The 21,540-nt window shown below is 46.8% G+C and overlaps 1 protein-coding gene across 3 annotated transcripts, besides 1 other annotated feature; it reads left to right on the forward strand.

Annotated features, from left to right (window-relative positions):
- On the forward strand, positions 3,789 to 9,717 carry GSTM1 (glutathione S-transferase mu 1). 3 transcript variants are annotated; one of them, XM_005270782.6, is made up of 8 exons: positions 3,789 to 3,881; positions 4,089 to 4,217; positions 4,645 to 4,709; positions 5,020 to 5,101; positions 5,197 to 5,297; positions 6,243 to 6,338; positions 6,426 to 6,536; positions 9,178 to 9,717. In XM_005270782.6, exons 2-8 carry the CDS (start codon positions 4,208 to 4,210, stop codon positions 9,265 to 9,267), a joined length of 555 nt encoding a protein of 184 aa, XP_005270839.1. In that variant the 5' UTR covers positions 3,789 to 3,881; positions 4,089 to 4,207; the 3' UTR covers positions 9,268 to 9,717. The 3 variants fall into 3 exon arrangements, with proteins under 3 accessions (XP_005270839.1, NP_000552.2, NP_666533.1); NM_000561.4 differs by having other exon boundaries at positions 4,142 to 4,217; NM_146421.3 differs by lacking the exon at positions 6,426 to 6,536 and having other exon boundaries at positions 4,142 to 4,217.
- Positions 3,839 to 3,888: an enhancer, noted in NCBI's record as "active region_1451". NCBI's record gives its function as "activates an Ori minimal core promoter by ATAC-STARR-seq in GM12878 lymphoblastoid cells {active_cell/tissue: GM12878}" and the evidence as "EXISTENCE:reporter gene assay evidence [ECO:0000049][PMID:35858748]".

A 21,540-nucleotide genomic window follows, 5' to 3' on the forward strand; every position in this document is an offset into this window, starting at 1 on the left:
CCGTTCCAGCCAGTGGAAACTGGACACAGCAGTAGGGTGGACACATCAAGTTATAAATGACCCTTTCTCCTTTGTTCAGTGTACTCTCGTGGTAAAACTGCTGGCGAGTGTACCCTTTCTGCAGAAAGTAAAAATGGCCTTTGTTGCAGGAAGTCAGGGACCCCGAACGGAGGGACCGGCTGGAGCTGCAGCAGAGGAACATAAATTGCAAATATTTCATTTTAATATGGACATTTATCAGTTCCCAAATTAATACTTTTATAATTTCTTATGCCTGCCTTACTTTAATCTCTTAATCCTGTTATCTTCTTAAGCTGAGGATATAGGTCACCTCAGGACCACTGTGATAATTGTGTTAACTGTACAAATTGATTGTAAAACATGTGTGTTTGAACAATATGAAATCAGTGCACCTTGAAAAAGAACAGAATAACAGCGATTTTTAGGGAACAAGAGAAGACAACCATAAGGTCTGACTGTCCGCAGGGTCGGGCAAAATAGAGCCATGTTTTTCTTCTTGCAGAGAGCCTATAAATGGACATGCAAGTAGGGAAGATATTGCTAAATTCTTTTCCTAGCAGGGAATATTAATATTAATACTCTGGGAAAGGAATGCATTCCTGGGGGGAGGTCTATAAACAGCCGCTTTGGGAATGAATGACTGTCCTATGCAGTTGAGATAAGGACTGAAATACACCCCGGTCTCCTGCAGTACCCTCAGGTGGGGAAAAAACCTGGCCCTGGCAAATTTGTGGTCAGACTGGTTCTCTGCTCTTGAACCCTGTGTTCTGTTGTTTAAGATGTTTATCAAGACAATATGTGCACCACTGAACATAGACCCTTATCAGGAGTTCTACTTTTGCCTTTGTCCTGTTTCCTCAGAAGCATGTGATCTTTGTTCTGCTTTTTGCCCTTTAAAGCATGTGATCTTCGTACCTACCCTCTGTTCGTACACCACCACCCCTTTTGCAATCCTTAATAAAAACTTGCTGGTTTTGAGGCTCGGGCAGGCATCATGGTCCTACCGATATGTGATGTCACCCCTGGCGGCCCAGCTGTAAAATTCTTCTCTTTGTACTCTTTCTCTTTATTTCTCAGCTGGCTGACACTTATGGAAAATAGAAAGAACCTACGTTGAAATATTGGGGGCAGGTTCCCCAATAGCCTTGCTGAGGAAATTAAATTTATGTTCAAGTGCTATTTCTTTATGGCACCAAGGAACAAGTATTTCAAACAATACTAATGTAACAGTACTGGTTCTATGTGTTTCAAAATTATTATTCTCATGAGTGTTAGCTTTCTTAAAAAATCGTTTTTTTTTTCAATTGGATCTAGACATCTTATCTTTCACAGCTCAAGACGGATTAACTCAGAATCATAAACTCTTAATGCATAATGAGAAATATAATGTTTCCTAGGGCCAGGCACTTGTGTCTGTGCTGGTGCTATTGCCTCAATGCAGGAAAATCTATGTAAGAGTTCACTGTGAGGCCAAAACTGCTTCCTAAACATGGATACCTGCCAGGTATCTGAGCTGGGAGTACTGCCCAGGTCTGGATGGGCGGGGAGTGTTTGCAACAAGGACTGTGCCTTGCCAGCCTCAGTGACACAGTGTCCAAGTGCCCCAACTTAGCAGCCACCTGCTGACCACCTGATTTCTGTGGCCTAATAGGGATGTGATGAAGTCTACCTGTTTACTCAACCCCAAACCACACATTATCCAGGTGGTTTGAAACTTTTTTGATATACTGGGTTCATCCTCTGGAGTCCTAACAATGTTTTAGCTAATTTACAAAAAACAAAACAAAACAAAACAAAACAAAACAAAACAAAAAAACTACTTTTTTTGCAGCACAACAGCCTGGTTTACATTGCAAAATGATTTCTCATTAAAGGTCTATCATCTATTTCCATATGTCCATTATTATTTGCAATATCCTTTAAAGCAGTCAACCCCAGGCTAATCCATTGCACAACTCTTTTGAAAGTCTTCCTTCTACCTTGAAAGAAGAAAGTTGGCAGGTTGGACATTGTTCTCGTGGAGGTTGTACCATGGGTCACATATCACGGTGTGACTTCAAAGGCCACTGGAGCCACCGTCTCATACTGAAGAACACACATGGGTCAGGAGCCAGGTCCAGGTCCGGAATGGTGGATCTGGAGAGGGGAGGGTCCCTGCCTGTGGTCCTGTGGGGAGCCCTCAGGCTCCTCTCTGGCCACCATCCTCTGACCTCCCTCCTCAGCAGGACAGGGTTCTGGCTTCTCTGAGGGACAGGTTCTGTGGCAGGCCAGGCGTCACTAACACAGGCCTCCATAACAACTGTTTCAGTACTGACTGAGTGGTGAAGTTAAATATTAAAAGCTGAAAAAAGCCAGTACCTTTATACAGAGGCTGGATGTAACAAAAGCCCACCAAGAGTTTTGCTTAGGCCTTTCCTGGGCCTTAAAGCATGACAAAACAATGAAGGAATTCTTAACAGGACCTATTTAGAATTAAACAAGTTTTATTGTGAGTCTGAAGAAACTCCCCAGGCCTCCACAAACAAGTTTATTGGGCGTCTGAAGGAACTCCCCAAACCTCCGTGATTTAGCAGGAGACAAGATAAGGGTAATCATCCCCCGCACCTGGACCCATTTAGATTAAATAAATAGACTGAGGCTCCAGAATAAGGTCCTCAGGACCCAGACCTCAGTTACAGATTAAAGAAGTTAATCACTTATGTCTTTAGATGAATGCACACTTACTTGTAGACATATACCTTAGAAGGTATATATGCTCTGGAAAACTTTGTAATATTGAGTTGGTCTGGTGGTAATTTCTAGGCCTTCTCCCTGTTACCGGTTGCAGAAATAAAACCTCTCTTCCTCCCCATTTGATCTGCATCTCGTTATTGGGCCTAGAGAAATAGCAGCCGGACCCTCAGTTTGGTCCGGGAAGTTCTTCCATCCTCCCTCGCCTGCTCTCTGTGGCCACTGCACTCACTGTTGCTGTTGCTGTTCCGGTCTCTGTGAGGTTCACCTAGTGGACTGGCTGGACATTTCTAGGGGGCACCTCAGATACCTCACCAACTTGCTGGATCTGATCCTTGGATTTCGATTCATAAATTGTGCCAAAATACGAAGTGGCTAATTTACACAGTACTTAGCCAGATGACCGAAGGACTCAGTACCCGAGGGCCCCTAACAGAAAACACAGACCACATTTCCTTTACTCTGGCCCTTTTCCTGGGGGTCCTTCCTATACCACTGACACTGTTCCTGTGTAGGCGGGGCTAGAGGGGAGACTAAGCCCTGGGAGTAGCTTTCGGATCAGAGGAAGTCCTGCTCTTACAGTGACAGGGGCTGAATTAAATTCCCAGGTTGGGGCCACCACTTTTTAGTCTGACCCCTGCAGCCGGAGTCTCCCAGAGCCCTTGGGAACTCGGCAGCGGAGAGAAGGCTGAGGGACACCGCGGGCAGGGAGGAGAAGGGAGAAGAGCTTTGCTCCGTTAGGATCTGGCTGGTGTCTCAAGCGCACAGCCAAGTCGCTGTGGACCTAGCAAGGGCTGGATGGACTCGTGGAGCCTCAGGGCTGGGTAGGGAAGCTGGCGAGGCCGAGCCCCGCCTTGGGCTTCTGGGCGCCCTGACTTCGCTCCCGGAACCCTCGGGCCTGGGAGGCGGGAGGAAGTCTTACTGAGTGCAGCCCCAGGCGCCCTCTCCCGGGCCTCCAGAATGGCGCCTTTCGGGTTGTGGCGGGCCGAGGGGCGGGGTCGCAGCAAGGCCCCGCCTGTCCCCTCTCCGGAGCTCTTATACTCTGAGCCCTGCTCGGTTTAGGCCTGTCTGCGGAATCCGCACCAACCAGCACCATGCCCATGATACTGGGGTACTGGGACATCCGCGGGGTGAGCGAGGGTCCGCTGGACGGTGGGACGAGGGCGCAGGGGAGGGAAGTGCGAAGCAGCTGCGGGACGGACTCTAGGGACCGTTCCTCTTCAGGGCTGCCCGCCTCAGAAGGGCCTGTGCATGCCGCTGTGTGTGTGTTGGGGGTGTGGGCGGGTAGAGGAGGCAACGGGTACGTGCAGTGTAAACTGGGGGCTTCCCTGGTGCAGACAAAGTCAGGGACCCTCCATCTCTGACGCGACCTGCGGGCCATCTCTCCCAGCTGGCCCACGCCATCCGCCTGCTCCTGGAATACACAGACTCAAGCTATGAGGAAAAGAAGTACACGATGGGGGACGGTAATGGCACCCTCGTGTTCGGGCTCTGCCCACTCACGCTAAGTTGGCACCAAGCAACCCATGGTGGCCACCTGTGGCTGCCTCTGCAGGCCTCCCCTGCTGGAGCTGCAGGCTGTCTCTTCCCTGAGCCCCGGTGAGGGAGCCCTCTGGCCTTGCAAGGCAGAATGCTGGGGTGGGATGCTGGGCCCCCTGTCTAATTGGGACGGGTGTCCCTCAGGGCTTGCCTAAACCCTGGAAGCCTTAGCTGTGTGGGGTCCAGAGCCCTCAGCGGGATTCTTTGTCCCTGAACCCTGGGATGTGGGACTGAGTGGTCAGATTCTAGATCCACCTGTCTCAGGGATCTTGCCACTGGCTCCGTGGGAGGGTCCCCGGGAAGGAGGGCTGGGCTCTGGGGAGGTTTGTTTTCACTTCTTCTTCCCCACCACAGCTCCTGATTATGACAGAAGCCAGTGGCTGAATGAAAAATTCAAGCTGGGCCTGGACTTTCCCAATGTAGGTGCAGGGGAAGGGGCGGTTTTGGGGGAAAGTGCAACGTGTCTCTGACTGCATCTCCTCTCCCCAGCTTAGAGGTGTTAAGATCAGGAGTCTTCTGCCCAATTCCTCTCACTCCTGGCTGTCTAAACAGTCCTTCCATGATGTTCTGTGTCCACCTGCATTCGTTCATGTGACAGTATTCTTATTTCAGTCCTGCCATGAGCAGGCACAGTGAGTGCCCGGTCTCCTCTCTGCTCTTGCTTATGGGAAGGGGATGCTGGGGAGCCTGGTGGCCCAACTGAGCTTCGCCGGTTTCCCATCCATCCAGCTGCCCTACTTGATTGATGGGGCTCACAAGATCACCCAGAGCAACGCCATCTTGTGCTACATTGCCCGCAAGCACAACCTGTGTGAGTGTGGGTGGCTGCAATGTGTGGGGGGAAGGTGGCCTCCTCCTTGGCTGGGCTGTGATGCTGAGATTGAGTCTGTGTTTTGTGGGTGGCAGGTGGGGAGACAGAAGAGGAGAAGATTCGTGTGGACATTTTGGAGAACCAGACCATGGACAACCATATGCAGCTGGGCATGATCTGCTACAATCCAGAATTTGTGAGTGTCCCCAGTGAGCTGCATCTGACAGAGTTTGGATTTGGGGCCAGGACTCTTGCATTCCTGCACACACTGGTCTTAAGTCCCTGGTACCATTCATCCTCCAAGTGCTTTCCCATACTATCAGCAGTTATTCTCACGACTCCAATGTCATGTCAACAAAAGCAGAGGCAATTCCCACCAACCTTAGGACACGATCCAGGCATCCCAGGGTAGAAATTCAGTTCCTGTATGGTAAAGTTTGTGTTCAGAATCTCCTTCATCAGCTCTGGCCTCTGACTTCTGTCCTGGGTCATTTCTGTCAGCCAGTTCACATCACCTGCCTGCTCCTAGAATATGCAGACTCAAGTAGAAGACTCAGGAATGTAATGGCACCCTCGAATTGCATCTTCTCCTCAACAGTTTTCTGAGTGCTGTCATTGACATGCACAGGGATCTGCGCATTTTCATAACAGACAGCTCAGAGGCAGTCAGAGGGCCTTTATTCCTCTCCCTCCTTCCTTTCAACTTGAACTTCTCATCTCCCTGGAAACTAGTCAATGTTCATTGTTTTCTTCTGCCACCCCATTAGAAGGAACTTTCTACTTTCCCTGAGCTCCCTTAGTTCTTTGCATCCTTGATTCTGCTGGTCTGGATCCAGAGGCTGCCAGGTGCTTGGGCGCTCCTGGGGCTGACCCAGAGGCTATTGGGAGGTCAGTGAGGACAGATTCAGGGACAGCATCTCATTCCTCTCTGCCTTCTGATCAGTTTAGATAGGGTCTGGCACTCAGTCAGAGTCTAATAAATGCTGATGTATCCAATTGAAGCCTGGGCACTGCCCCAGTTCCAGCTTGGGGAAGATGGCTGCTTGCCCATGGCCAGCCTGGGCCGTCCACAGCCCCGGGGAGGCCACGTCTGTGCAGGGAGCTTTTGTCCGAGGGTGGTGACAGCTGTTTTCTGCCTCAGGAGAAACTGAAGCCAAAGTACTTGGAGGAACTCCCTGAAAAGCTAAAGCTCTACTCAGAGTTTCTGGGGAAGCGGCCATGGTTTGCAGGAAACAAGGTAAAGGAGGAGTGATATGGGGAATGAGATCTGTTTTGCTTCACGTGTTATGGAGGTTCCAGCCCACATATTCTTGGCCTTCTGCAGATCACTTTTGTAGATTTTCTCGTCTATGATGTCCTTGACCTCCACCGTATATTTGAGCCCAAGTGCTTGGACGCCTTCCCAAATCTGAAGGACTTCATCTCCCGCTTTGAGGTGATGCCCCCATCCTCCTTTCTCTTTGATGCCCCTTGTTCCGTTACCTCCTTTCAGATGTTTTCCCAGTCCTGGAGCTACACACAGAATAACTCGCATGTATTGAGTACTGGTTTCATGCCACGAACCGTGCCCAGCACATTATACCTATTGTGTGAAATTTGAATTTTATAACATTCCAGTAAGGTAACAGAATTATCTCGCCCATTTTAGAGATAAGGAAACTAAGAATGAGAGGGTCAGTCCTTTGCTCAGGGTCCCAGAGCTAGTGGAGGCTGTGCTGGGCTCCCTGTGAGCCTCTGGATCTATGGGTGGCAGTCAGGGCTCTCCCATTTGTGACAGAAGAAAAAGCCTTAGGCTTCACCTAGCCTGGGTTTCACAGCCCAGGACACTTTGGAAGAGGCAGAGAACTTCATGACCATAGATGGAGCTGGCAATAGTAGGACTGACACAACGGTGACATTGATGTCTAGTACTGAACCCACAGGCAATATTCATAGCTACCTCCAGAAGCTTTGCATGATTGGACCCCAGTGTGGGGAATCCTGAGAGCCAGGGCTGTGGCTGTAGCTGGATTAAGGTACATATGTGGGTGTCCCTGTTGAAGGAGTATATGTTGAAATGCCCGGTGCTGGGGCACTTCCTTACTCCACCTCTATTCTTTTTTTTTTTTTTTTTTTTTTTTTGTGCTGGAGTCTTGCTCTGTTGCCCAGGCTGGAGTTCAATGGAGTGATCTTGGCTCACTGCAACCTCCGCCTCCTGGGTTCAAGCGATTCTACTGCCTCAGCTGCACGATTAGTTGGGATTACAGGTGTGCACCACCACGTCTGGCTAATTTTTGTATTTTTAGTAGAGATGGGGTTTTGCCATGTTGGTCAGGCTGGTCTCGAACTCCTGACCTCAGGTGATCTGCCCACATCAGCCTCCCTCAGTGCTGGGATTACAGATATGAGCCACTCCTCTTCCTCTTTTTTCCCTCCAGTGTTCCACGTGTTCCCCCTGTGAGATGAGTAGCATGCTGATTTTACTCCTATTCACCGACCTTCTCTGCATGAGGCAGGGAGTGAGGCACAGTGGGAGATGTATAGATGACTGCCCCATCCTGGAAATGAGTGCAGTGAGAGGGCTGCAGGCAGAGCAGCCTGTGAGGTGTGTGTGGCACCACCTGGGTACCAGGCCCGGGGCCTGCCCCTCACTCACGGGGAACCATCCCTCACCCTTGCTGATCTTGTTTCAGAGCACAAATCCTACTTTAGTACAGATCTGGGAATTTGAGGCATTAGTCCAACGGGCTTCTGAGCCTAGAATCTGTTTCCCTTTCCCATCAAGAAATCTGCTTGCTCAGCTAGTTCCCATCAGCTCTGGTTCTGGTCCAGGCTTAGTGGCCTTGGAGTTATGTAAGAGGTGGTGGGAAGGGAGGGGTGGAGGAGAGCTGAGGTCTATGGCCTATGACATGCCAGGGTCAATCAGTTTGAGAACAGGCAGTCCTGGATCTTTTTTTTTTTTTTTTTTTTGAGATCGTGTCTTGCTGTTGCCCAGGCTGGAGTGCAGTTGCGTGACCTCGGCTTACTGCAACCTCTGCCTCCCGGGTTCAAACAATTCTCTGCCTCAGCCTCCCGAGTAGCTGGGATTACAAGTGTCTATCACCACGCCCAGCTAATTTTTCTATTTTTAGTAGAGATGGGCTTTCACCATGTTGGCCAGGGTGGTCTTGAACTCCTGACCTCGGGTGATCCACCCACCTCGGCTTCCCAATGTGCTGGGATTACAGGTGTGAGCCGGATGTTTTTGAATACCTTATCTGGGCATTCAATCCTGGTAAGATTGTGCACAGCACATCTGAGTATCATGTAGCCTGATCTGCAGCAGGGCTGGAGATGCCATGGGTTAGGGCACAGTGAGATTTTGCTCAGGTATTAGATGGAGAACTTTGGACTTTCTGCTTTAAGGGGAATGTTTAGAGCCTAGTCTCGCCTTTGATTTTCTTGTGCACTGCCACCCCCCATTCCACTTTCATCCAGGTTTTACTGAGACATTGGGTGAGTGTGTTCAGAGCCCCTTTGTTCTGCTGGAGGTCCCTTCTGTGTCTCTATACCCAGACAAGCCAAGAGCCTCCCTGTGGAAAAGGAGACTGTTTGTGCAGTCAAGGAGTGACAGGGCCTGGTGTGAGGGGTGGTGGGGCAGAAGAAGAAGAGAATTTGTCAGGAAGAGGCCAGAACTGGAGAGAGACAGAACCAGGCTACACTGCAGTTCTATTCCCCTTACTAGGTATTTAAATGTAAGGAAGTTGCTGAACTTCTGTTTCCCACATGAGAAATGGTGATAATAGATTCAGCCTTGCAGAGCAGTCGAGTGGGTTTTCTAAGCTTACGTTGTAATTTCTCTTGGGTACAGAGCACCCAGCACCGTGTAGAATCTTCATAAGTGTTAGCTGTTACTGTGGTACAACATTACTTAAAGGAAGTTGGAAGAGTTAACTCCGCAAATCTGGGGACCCTAAGAAGCTGTGTGATGCCTCAGCACTTGAGCCCACATGGAAAGGCTGTGGCCAGGGCCCTGACCTGCTGTGTCTGCAGTGGGGTTGTCCCAGCCCTCATGGGCAGCTGACCTTGAGTTCTGGCCTTATTTTCCCCCCTCTCAGGGCTTGGAGAAGATCTCTGCCTACATGAAGTCCAGCCGCTTCCTCCCAAGACCTGTGTTCTCAAAGATGGCTGTCTGGGGCAACAAGTAGGGCCTTGAAGGCCAGGAGGTGGGAGTGAGGAGCCCATACTCAGCCTGCTGCCCAGGCTGTGCAGCGCAGCTGGACTCTGCATCCCAGCACCTGCCTCCTCGTTCCTTTCTCCTGTTTATTCCCATCTTTACTCCCAAGACTTCATTGTCCCTCTTCACTCCCCCTAAACCCCTGTCCCATGCAGGCCCTTTGAAGCCTCAGCTACCCACTATCCTTCGTGAACATCCCCTCCCATCATTACCCTTCCCTGCACTAAAGCCAGCCTGACCTTCCTTCCTGTTAGTGGTTGTGTCTGCTTTAAAGGGCCTGCCTGGCCCCTCGCCTGTGGAGCTCAGCCCCGAGCTGTCCCCGTGTTGCATGAAGGAGCAGCATTGACTGGTTTACAGGCCCTGCTCCTGCAGCATGGTCCCTGCCTTAGGCCTACCTGATGGAAGTAAAGCCTCAACCACATTTGCTGTGTGTCTTGTCTTATTTGCTCCTGGCCATCTACCCAGACTGTCTGTCTGTCTGTCACTGCCTCTTCCAAGGGACTGGCTGGTGATCCTGGCAGTGGCTGGGTTCTAAAGGATTCTGCTGGGCATAGTAAGGCGCTTGAGAATTCTTGCTCCCATTCCTGAGAGACTCAGAGCAGGAAGCCCCATGAGGCACTGTGGAAAGGATGTCTCTTTCTTGGCCTGGATGTCCCATTCATTCATCCAGCCGTATTGAGTACTTTCCATAATTGCACAGAGCTTGTGTCTCATTGAATAGGACCCCAAGGGGGTGGAATCTCCATCAGAGAGAACCAGGGTCCCTTTTACCTTCTCCACTATATGACTACATCACTTCTGTTAGGTCTCCAGGACCCAATCTCTATTGTTTTTCTCAGATGGCTTCCAGGTACCCTCTCCAGGCTTGCTGCACAGCTGTCATCAGGACGTTCTCTCTGGGTTTACTTCCTCTCTTTCCTGGGTACCTGTGAGAGAAATGTCTTTAGTCCTTGCATAACTGAAAGTGCCTTTACATGCTTACTGAATACTCTGGCTGAGGATTTAGTCTGTTCTCACGCTGCTAATAGAGACATACCCGAGACTGGGTAATTGATAAAGGAAAGAGGTTTAAAGGTCTCACAGTTCCACAGGGCCTGGGAGGCCTCATAACCATGGCAGAAGGCGAATGAGGACCAAAGTAATGTCTTACATGGCAGCAGGGAAGAGGGCGTGTGCAGGGGAACTCCCACTTATAAAACCATCAGATCTTGTGAGACTTATTCACTACCATGAGAACAGTATGGGGGAAACTGCCCCCACGATTCAGTTTTCTGCACCCGGCCCCCACCCTTGATACCTGGGGATTATTACAATTCAAGGTAAGATGTGGGTGGTGACACAGCCAAACCATATCAGCTGGGGATAGAATTCTATGATGAAAACCTTCAGACCTCTAATAGATTTACTCGCTCTTTTCTAGAATTGAGCATTTCTGGTGAGTAGGTGGATGCCAGTTCTGACAGCATCTTTTGCTTTTTAAAAATTATTATTATTATTTTGAGAGGGAGTATTACTCTGTCACCCAGGCTGGAGTGCAGTGGTGTGATCTTGTCTCACTGCAACCTCCCCTTCCCAGGTTCAAACGATTCTCCTTCCTCAGCCTCCCAAGTAGGTGGAACTATAGGCGCACACCACTGTGCCCAGCTAATTTTTGTATTTTTGTTTTAGAGACAGGTTTTCACCGTGTTGGCCAGGCTGGTCTCAAACTCCTGACCTCGTGATCCACCCACCTAGGCCTCCCAAAGTTCTGGAATTACATGCGCGAACTACTGCGCCTGACCATATCTTTTGCTTTTTTACTTAAGCTTTTTCTGTTTATCATTCTGAGGTCTATAATTCCAAAGGCCGTGTGGGGATCTACAGGTTGATCTCTTCCTGACTCACATCATTGCAGGAACTTTCTAAGCATAGGCTTCCTCCACCCTGACAGCAATCCCATATCTTTATCTGCATTGCATCTTCTTGAAGTAATTTAAAATCTCACTGGAGAGTGAACTGCTTCAGAGGAAGATTCTCATAGCTTAGCAGTTCCTAAGCTGTGATACCAGAAATAGTTGTTGAGTCTGTGGGTCAGGTATTCACGCAAGGCTCAGCAGGGAGTACTTGTTACAAATCAACAAAGGTCTCTTCTCCAAAAACTATATATCCGAAAATACAACTCATTAAAAAATGAGTCAGAATTTCAACAAGCATTTCCCAAAAGTGAATATCCAAATGGCCACTAAGCTCATGAGAAGGTGCTCAACATCATTAGACAGCAGAAAGTTAAAAACCCCTAAGATCCTACTGTATCCCCACTAGAATGGCTGATATTGAAAGGACCGACAATTGTTGGTGATTTATGGAGTAACTGGAACTGTCATGCATTGCTGGTGGGAAAGCCACTTTGGAATACTGGCACTGTCAACTAGAGCTAAACATACATCTACCCAGGACCCAGAAGTCCTACCCTACAGGAATGAGTCCTAATGGATTCCAAGAACCAGGTATAATGATGCCAAAAGCAGCTTTATTTTAAATAGCCAATAACTGAAAACAATCCAAATTCCATGAATAGAAGAATGAACAAATGAACTGTGGTTTATCAACACAATTCCATCATTCGTATAATGGAATACTTACTCTGCTATAATGAAAATAAATGTGCTAACACTATGTGCAAAAACATGGATGGGTCTCACAGATGTGTTGAGTAAAAGGATCCAGACAGGAGAAAGGACACACAATCTCATTCCACTTACACGAAAATCAGGGGAGGGAAATGAGTCCATGGTATCAGAGGTCAGATGATTGGTGACCTTGGTGAGAACTGGAAGGTTGCCTATTGAAGGCTCCTGGTGCAGTGCTGTAAGTTTTCTCTCTTTATCTGGGAGGTGATTCCAGAAGAGTATCCAAGTGGAAAAGCCCACAGAGTAGCACACTTAAGGCCTGTACACTGTATGTGTATTCACTTCAATGAAAAGCATGCACATATGTCTTACATTATTTGTGTGCTTGTGTTGGTTTGCTTTCCCTCATAATATGTCAATGTCATGAAGGCATGTGTTTTTGTATCTTCTTGTTCACTGATGTAACGGGTGTTTGCATATCACCTAGCACAGTCCTTGAGCATAGTAGGTGCTCACTTAATAGTTATTAAGCAAATTATAGGTTCGTCTTAAAGGTGTGATTTCAAATTCCCTTTAGATTTTTATTCATGCCTACTTCTTTGGATAGGTGAGACTGGTGTGCATGTATACTCTTAGATTGTACCATTTTTTCTCTTTAACATTTTACTTCTCTTTCTTTTTTTGAGACAGAGTCTCACTCTGTTGCCCAGGCTGGAGCACAGTGGCGCAGTCTCAGCTCACTGCAACCTCTGCCTCCTGGGTTCAAGCGATTCTCGTGCCTCAGCCTCCTGAGTAACTGGGACTACTGGCATACACCACCACACCTGGCTAATTTTTGTATTTTTGGTAGAGATGAAGTTTTGCCATGATGGCCAGGCTGGTCTCGAACTCCGGGCCTCAAGTTATCTGCCCACCTCTACCCCTCAGAGTGCTGGGATTAAAGGTGTGAGCCACTGCGCCTGGCCTAACATTTAACTTAAAAAATCTGTGTATGGGCTGGGCTTGGTGGCTGACGCCTGTAATCCCAGCACTTTGGGAGGCCAAGGCAGGCAGATCACGAGGTCAGGAGAGCGAGACCATCCTGGCTAACATGGTGAAACCACTTCCCTAGTAAAAATACAAAAATTAGCCGGGTGTGGTGGCTCTTGCCTGTAGTCCCAGCTACTCAGGAGGCTGAGGCCGGACAATCGCTTGAACTTGGGAGGTGGAGCCTTCAGTGAGCCGAGATAGTGCCACTCCTCTCCAGTCTGGGCAATAGAACAAGACTCTGTCTCAAAAAAAAAAAAAAAACTGTATATGTTGGCAGTCTATATGCATGCCTACTTCTAATATTGATGGCTATCTCACATTAGTTCCTGTGGATTAACTATAGTTTGCCTAGTCATTCTTATGCTATGGCGTATGTGGATTTTTCTAACTTATTTATTTGTTTTTAGAGCAGGGTGATCATGTTTTGACTAATTCCTTCCCATTTTTGGTTACTTTGAGTAGATCCCCAAAGGTGATTACTATAAGGTAAAGGGTGAGACTGGTTTAATGGTATAACAGATAATTTGATTGCTCTCCAGAGACAATAACTTAATTTATGGTGCCACCAGCAAGGTACAGTACACGGACCTTTCTGCACTATTTTAGGCACTTAGGAGATCGCAATTTCATCTTACGATTTTTTTTTTAATAAGAACACCTTCAAATATTCTGGCTGGGCATGGTGGCTCATGCCTGTAATCCCAGCACTTTGGGAGGCTGAAGCCGGTGGATCACTTGAGGTCAGGAGTTTGAGACCAGCCTAGCCAATGTGGTGAAACCCTGTCTCTACTAAAAATACAAAAATTAGCCAGGCGTGGTGGTGGACAACTGTAATCCCAGCTATTCAGGAGGCCGAGGCACAAGAATCGCTTGAACCTGGGAGGCAGAAGTTGCACTGAGCCAAGATCGTGCCATTGCACACTGCACTCCAGCTTGGGCGACAGAGTGAGAGTCCACCTCAACAACAACAACAACAACAACAAAAAGAATACCCTTAAATTTTCTACCTTCACCTTTTTTGTTTATAGGTTGTGCATGTTTCTGCCAATGAATCACAGTCTATGAATCTACTTGTTCGTGAATCTCCTGTATAAAACTCTCTGTTTACCCATTCTCTACCGGTGGCTTAGTCATCTCCAGGAGAAAGATTAAAGAATGATCTTGTGGCAGTCAAGGCTTTTTCTCCCATAGGCACAATGTAATTAATTGTGATTTTGTTCTTGGTTTCCTGTGGCATAATGTGATGGTTAGTTTTCTGTGTCAACTTGACTGGGCTAAGGGATGCTCAGATGGCAGGTAAAATCATTGTGTTTGTGAGGGTGTTACCAGAAGAGATTTGCCTTTCAATGAGAAGACTGAGCCAAGATTTCTCTCAGCAATGAAGGGGGCTTCCAACAAACTGTCAAGGTCTAGAGAGAAGAAAAAACAGAGGAAGGGTGAATTTGACCTCTCTGACTGGGACATCCATCTCCACCTATCCTGGGACCTCCACACTCCTGGTTCTCTGGCCTTCAGACTTGATCAGGGACTAACACCATCGCCTCCCACCCCCACCTTTGTTCTGAGGCCTTTAGACTCACACTGAATGATACCGCTGGCCTTTCCCGCTTCTCTGTCCTGCAGCCAGCTGATCGTGGGACTTCACTCCAAAATTATGTGAGCCAGTTCCCACAAGAGATACATAAATTTGTAAATAAACACACAAATTTCCTACAGGCTTATCTTAGTGGCGTCACTTCAAATTTTGAAGACCCTTGACTAGTACACGTAGCAACAAAAAATACACATGGGTCACCATCATCAATAAGTAAGTTTTATAAAATCAAACACAAGATAAAACGCTGCAGCATATCTATTACCTGGGTTTTTTTCTATATGGAAAGCACTGTCTGAGATGCCTCACAGTAAACTCCAAGGAGATTTTGAGGGAAGATATTATCTTTCCTGGTAAATCTCCGTGTTGATGATCATTGTTTTAAAGTCTCCAGAGATGAAAACATCTGCTTGCACATTTTGCTAATTCATTTTGGGTGAGGGTCTCTGGCAGGCTTGGAAGGGTGGGTGAGCAGTGGGAAGGGGGCTGCGTCTGGTGACTAGCATCACTCATATCCATGTCTGTGGCAGTCATCAGGTGCTTATTATATATTTGACTTTTGGCCACCCCTCTGGGGGTGTTAAATGCAGGGAGGGTCTAGTCAAGCCATTACAAGTTGGCAGTGACTCGTAGCAACTTTCTACACACCCTTCTCAGTCAGGGTGGATACCTTTTGAAAATAAGTTCAGTTCATCCTGCCTAGCTTTGCCCCAGCAGCTCTAGAAGAATTACCCGATGGTGCTGGGCTCAGGCTGCCTGGCTCTGGAGCAATGTGCTGAGAGCTGCAGGGGAGGCCTGCTGTCTGACTGGCAGAGAGAGTCCCACCACTCCCTACCCTGTACCCTGGAAGACCAGGCTGCCCAGCCTGTCCACCTAGTAGACCGTTTGCCTGCCCAATTCTCCTTCTCTGATTCCTGATGTGCAGCTTGATGCCTGCATGGGCTGCACCAGCTGAGATTGTCTCTAGGTCCTCCCTTCTGCCAGCTGGTGTCCAGGGAAGTGGGTCCTCTGGCCTGCTTCCTGCCAGCCAGAATTTCGAGGACCTTGTTTCTCCCACTGCAGCTTTCGACCCTGTCCTGGATCACAGACTAGGGTTTCTTAAGGTCGGCCGTACAGAGATTTGGAGGGCAGAATTCTTTGTTGTGGGGCGCTGTCCTGAGCATCGCAGGGTGCTCAGCATCCTACCCATCCTCTACCCACTAATACCACGGGCGCTTCCTGGTGTTTACAATTAACAAAGTCTCCAGACAGACCTACATGTCCCCTGAGGGGCAAAATCACCTTCACTTGAATCACATCCAGTGGTGTGCTGGATGGATACTAGCATTAAAAATATTAATAATAATAAAAAGATTCATAATGTAGCTCATGTAGTTAATTCCTTTTTGATGGAACATTTATTTAAGTTAATAATATAAGTATCATTAATACCTAATAATATGGGTATATGTATATGTAATTTTCTTGTTTACCTTTTTATATTGATCTAGCGTCAGAGTTTGAGAAATTGTAGAAAGATTAGAAACGACTCTGATTACCCTAGATACTAATGTTTCCACATGGGCTTTCTGCCCCCCAGAGTACCCTCTGCCCCTCCTTCTCCTGCCCCCGCCTTTCTGTCTCTGTCTCCCCCAGCAAGCTCCGAATGAGCACAACACCATTATAAGAAAAACACTATTTTCTTTTCTCTGAGGTAGCATTCCTGATGTTTGGATTCAGGCTGATAAGTGACAGTGATTTATAATCATCCTTGCCTGTGTTGTCCTTCCCATGTTAGGTCATGTCTGTAGTTTATGACAATCTGTGTCATCCATGCCATTTTCAAAATTTTTGAAAACATATCCAGCCTAATGCTGAGGATAAAATGCCCTTTTGTGTTGTTATTTTTCTTTATCACGCTTTTTGTACTTCATTCAGAATCTTTATCTCTTAACATGTTTTGGCCTGTTTGTGTTTCTTCCACTTGGTGGTAACATCAATTAACATAGAGTTTAGAAAAATGTTTCCCCAATTTAAAAAATCACTTGTACTACATCTTCTTTCTTAGTTCTGATTTGTATTAACTTATAATTATATTTTTTGTTTTTGTTGTACTAATGCTGTGTTAATTACCTAAGTTTTTTTTGTTTTGTTTTGTTTTTGTTTTTGAGACGGAGTCTCGCTCTTTCGCCCAGGCTGGAGTCCAGTGGCACTATCTCGGCTCACTGCAAGCTCCACCTCCCTGGTTCATGCCATTCTCCGGCCTCAGCCTCCCAAGTAGCTGGGACTACAGGTGTCTGCCACCACGCCCAGCTAATTTTTTGTATTGTCAGTGGAGACAGGGTTTCACCATGTTAGCCAGGATGGTCTTGATCTCCTGACCTCGTGATCCGCCCGCCTTGGCCTCCCAAAGTGTGGGGATTACAGGCGTGTAGTTACCTAACTTTTAACAGAATAAACTATTACATATAACAAGCAAATTGGTTAAAGTTTCAATATTTCTCTTAAGGTAACTTATTGCTTCCACTTCTGTTTCCATCTCTAACTTTGTGCCTGTTCTACTTTCTTGAAATTCTAGTTTGTTTGCCTTATTCTTGGTATCACAGGCATGTTGGAAAAATGTTTTCTCAATTCAAATTTGGTAGCATCTTCAAATGGTGATTTTTATTTTCTTCTTTTCAGATTGAAGAAAAGATTCTTTATATTTCAGATTTCCTAAGTTTACCCAAACAATATTTAAGAGACTTTAATACATTTCCATGAATTAGGATACATTTTATTTTGTCTGTCAGTATTTGTTTCTAATAGATTAGTTTTTAAAATTCTGACAACATGTTAGGTAGATTTTCTGTTAATTTGCCTTGAGAATGTAAGAATGTTGTCAGAAGAGACAGAAGGAATTATGAAATCCAGTCCAGAGGTCCCATTACAGGCCCTTGGTAAAGTGGGACCCAGTGCATTTTGACTGTCTGGCACAGCATTGTTTTAAAAATTAGAACTTTTCCACATTTTGCAGTTCAGACAGCACATACAAATGCAGAAGTCCAGGCCCTGTCGGGACTGAGTTTCTGTGTGGTGACAACTGGCTACAACCCCTTCCTTCTGAACACTTGCAGCTTCCCTCATCCCTGCTGCTCCTGATCCCCGTCCACAGACCCACTTTCCCCGCTGGTGTGATCCTTGTGGCCACTATGGCAGCTACTTTGGAGAGCCGCTAGTCCAGTCCTTCCCGCCTTCCGCAGAGCTCTACTCCTGCTTCTGAAGAAGCCACCTGGGGCCTGGCCTTCTTCCTGGCTCCTCAGAGTCCTTGCAACAGCAGGCACTACTTCTCTCTCCTGCACTCAACCCCTCTCCCACTCCACTGCCTCTCAGTGTGCCAAAACACGAAGATGTGTCCTGATTTTCAAAATCTCTCCCCTGAAGTTCCCACCTGATATGTAGTTGGAGATGGGCAAATACAGCGTCCTTGAAGCATCATTTTATTCATAGTGCCTGGAATGTAGTAGGATCTCGACAATTGTTGTTTCAATAAAGGAATGACCAAATATATTAATACTGTAAAAAGTAAAGTAGAGGTTCCTCTTCAAAGAGACTTTTCTCCCCATCTAATTAAGAATAAGTCGTAACTTCTCTTAGAAGCAAAATTTATTCAAAGACCGGTGCTGATATTCTGAAATATCTGCTAGCTGTAATAAAGAAATTAATGTACTTTATGTTCTTAACTCCCACAATTTAGCCTAAATACTTGCCCTGGCATGCTTATACTGATCCAAACAAGCATGAGGTCATAGCCTGTTCCTCTTCCTTATTTGAAGGTGTTTTTACCTTTCTCAGCGTTCCACAAGTGAGTTCCCCCTTCCTTTGTTCTCCTCTGCCTCTGCCTCTTTTAAAAAGTTCTAAGTTGCTAGCCAATCAGGACAAATACAGAATGTGAGGTCCCGTTCCAGCCAGTGGAAACTGGACACAGCAGTAGGGTGGACACATCAAGTTATAAATGACCCTTTCTCCTTTGTTCAGTGTACTCTCGTGGTAAAACTGCTGGCGAGTGTACCCTTTCTGCAGAAAGTAAAAATGGCCTTTGTTGCAGGAAGTCAGGGACCCCGAATGGAGGGACCGGCTGGAGCTGCAGCAGAGGAACATAAATTGCAAATATTTCATTTTAATATGGACATTTATCGGTTCCCAAATTAATACTTTTATAATTTCTTATGCCTGCCTTACTTTAATCTCTTAATCCTGTTATCTTCTTAAGCTGAGGATATAGGTCACCTCAGGACCACTGTGATAATTGTGTTAACTGTACAAATTGATTGTAAAACATGTGTGTTTGAACAATATGAAATCAGTGCACCTTGAAAAAGAACAGAATAACAGCGATATTTAGGGAACAAGAGAAGACAACCATAAGGTCTGACTGTCCGCAGGGTCAGGCAAAATAGAGCCATATTTTTCTTCTTGCAGAGAGCCTATAAATGGACATGCAAGTAGGGAAGATATTGCTAAATTCTTTTCCTAGCAAGGAATATTAATATTAATACTCTGGGAAAGGAAAGCATTCCTGGGGGGAGGTCTATAAATGGTCGCTTTGGGAATGAATGTCTGTCCTATGCAGTTGAGATAAGGACTGAAATACACCCTGGTCTCCTGCAGTACCCTCAGGCTTACTAGGGTGGGGAAAAACCTGGCCCTGGCAAATTTGTGGTCAGACTGGTTCTCTGCTCTTGAACCCTGTGTTCTGTTGTTTAAGATGTTTATCAAGACAATACATGCACCGCTGAACATAGACCCTTATCAGGAGTTCTATTTTGCCCTTGTCCTGTTTCCTCAGAAGCATGTGATCTTTGTTCTGCTTTTTGCCCTTTAAAGCATGTGATCTTCGTACCTACCCCCTGTTCGTACACCCCCTCCCCTTTTGCAATCCTTAATAAAAACTTGCTGGTTTTGAGGCTCGGGCGGGCATTACGGTCCCACTGATATGTGATGTCACCTCCAGCAGCCCAGCTGTAAAATTCCTCTCTTTGTACTCTTTCTCTTTATTTCTCAGCCAGCCGACACTTATGGAAAGTAGAAAGAACCTACATTGAAATACTGGGGGCAGGTTCCCCCAATATCTGGTGCACCAACATGGTTTTCTTTTTCCTAAGTGCATGTGGGAACCTGATTCCCTTTGGTAGGTGTGGAGAAACGATCATCAGTCCAGTCCTCAGAAACGCTTGTTCGGCTCCCTGATGATTGGTGAATTTTCTATGTATTGTCTCGGGTAACTATGGGTCACATGGAGTCTAAATATTATGCTTATCTCTGCTATATTAAACTCCTGTTAAAACAGGGTGGAGTTTGGGTGCCCATGGAAAATATGGTCACCCTATTCAGGGTGTTGGAAGAACACTGTCCTTGGTTTCCTGAAAAGGGAAAATTAGATGTGGAACTATGGGATCGCGTTGGTGCAAAATTCCAGGAACTGATCCCATCAGGAAATTATGTTCCCTTCACTGTTTGGGGTGATTGGGCCTTGGTATGTGCCATCCTAACGACATACCAATCCCGTGACCCCCTGCAGTTACCACAGTTTTCTGAATCTGGCGACCTTCTACCTCTTCCACAGCTTTCCTCTCCCACTCGGGCTTCATTATCTGCTCAGCCTCTCCCTTCGCCTACTCCTCCCCCACCTAACGATATTGAGGATTCAATATCTAACTCCGGTGACTTTGGCTTAATGTCACCCCCGATGGTCTTATTTCTTTTCATGAAGACCTGATACTTGTAGCTCCCATGGCCCTGACTCGGACAGCTCTGCACCATATCTATGCTAACTCTTCCCTTTTCAAATCTTTGCAGGCTTTGCCTCCAGAGCCATCTAATGGCTCCAGACCAAACTACAATTTACCTGTAATTCTGCAGGCCCTCCCCCACCGCAGCCCCTCACCCTCCTGTCATTTCGGTCCCTCAACCAGTCACTTTGCCATTCACTCAACCTGCTTCTCTGTACCCTTCTTCACACATGGACGCCCCTGCCACTCTGGTTGCACAGGATTTCCCAATAATCACCAGTATGCTTCTGTCTCTTCTGCTCCCCCAATGCCCCTTTCTCACACTCTCATACTGGTCTGACCTCCTGAACCTCAGTTTCCCTTATCTACACATACTTTTACTGTCACTTCTATGCCAACTCCATCTCATGTGCCTGCTCTTGAAACTTCCATGCAATGCTTATTACGCCAGAACAAAGAAACAAGTGGATTAGAGGTGTGGGCTTATCCGGTCACGCTGGAACCTCCCAATGCTCAAGGGGTACAAATGCGTTGATATGCACTGCTCAATCTTACCTTTTCAAAAGAATTCAAGGATGCTTGTGCTCAGTATGGTCCTGCTTCTCCATATGTTAAAATGGCATTACAGACTCTTTGTACTGAGGTCATTTTGCTTCCTTCAGAATGGGACCTTTTGGCGAAAGCTGTTCTAACTCCATCTCAGCATTTACAATTCTGTACCTGGTGGTCAGAGGAGGCCCGTCTGCAGGCTCAGCTAAATTGGGTTGATGGCATTCTAATTACTCAGGCTCAGCTCACAGGCTCTGATAATCACTCTGACACTACCGCCCAATTAGACTTTGACGCTCTCACCACGGAACAAGTAACAAAGTTGTGTATGAGAGTTTGGGATAAACTAGGTGCCCCAGGCCAAGCTCCTGTTTCTTTTACTACTGTTAAACAGGGTCGCAGTGAATTACATCCTGATTTTTTGGCTAAATTACAAGATGCTGTTCAAAATCTGTCTCTGATGATTACGCTCAAGGTATTCTCCTTCATATGTTAGCTTTTGAGAATGCGAACCATGAGTGTAAAGTGGTCATGCGTTCTGTCTAATGACAAAATTTACCTGATCACGAGGTGTGCCTGCATATATTAAAGCTTGTGAAAGCATTGGATCAGAGACCCACAAAGCTATTCTGTGGGCACGGGCCATGAAGGATGGCAATCAAACTGGCTTGACTGAATTCTTTTCTTGGAGCCTGCTATAATTGTGGTCAACT

Source organism: Homo sapiens, chromosome 1 (genome assembly GCF_000001405.40).
Source record: "Homo sapiens chromosome 1, GRCh38.p14 Primary Assembly".
NCBI lineage: Eukaryota > Metazoa > Chordata > Mammalia > Primates > Hominidae > Homo > Homo sapiens.

Coding starts and splice junctions, on each gene's coding strand:
- GSTM1 (NM_000561.4), top strand. CDS start 3,846: ATGCCCATGATACTGGGGTACTGGGACATCCGCGGG. Junction 3,882..4,141: donor GGTACTGGGACATCCGCGGG/GTGAGCGAGGGT, acceptor CATCTCTCCCAG/CTGGCCCACGCCATCCGCCT. Junction 4,218..4,644: donor GAAGTACACGATGGGGGACG/GTAATGGCACCC, acceptor TCCCCACCACAG/CTCCTGATTATGACAGAAGC.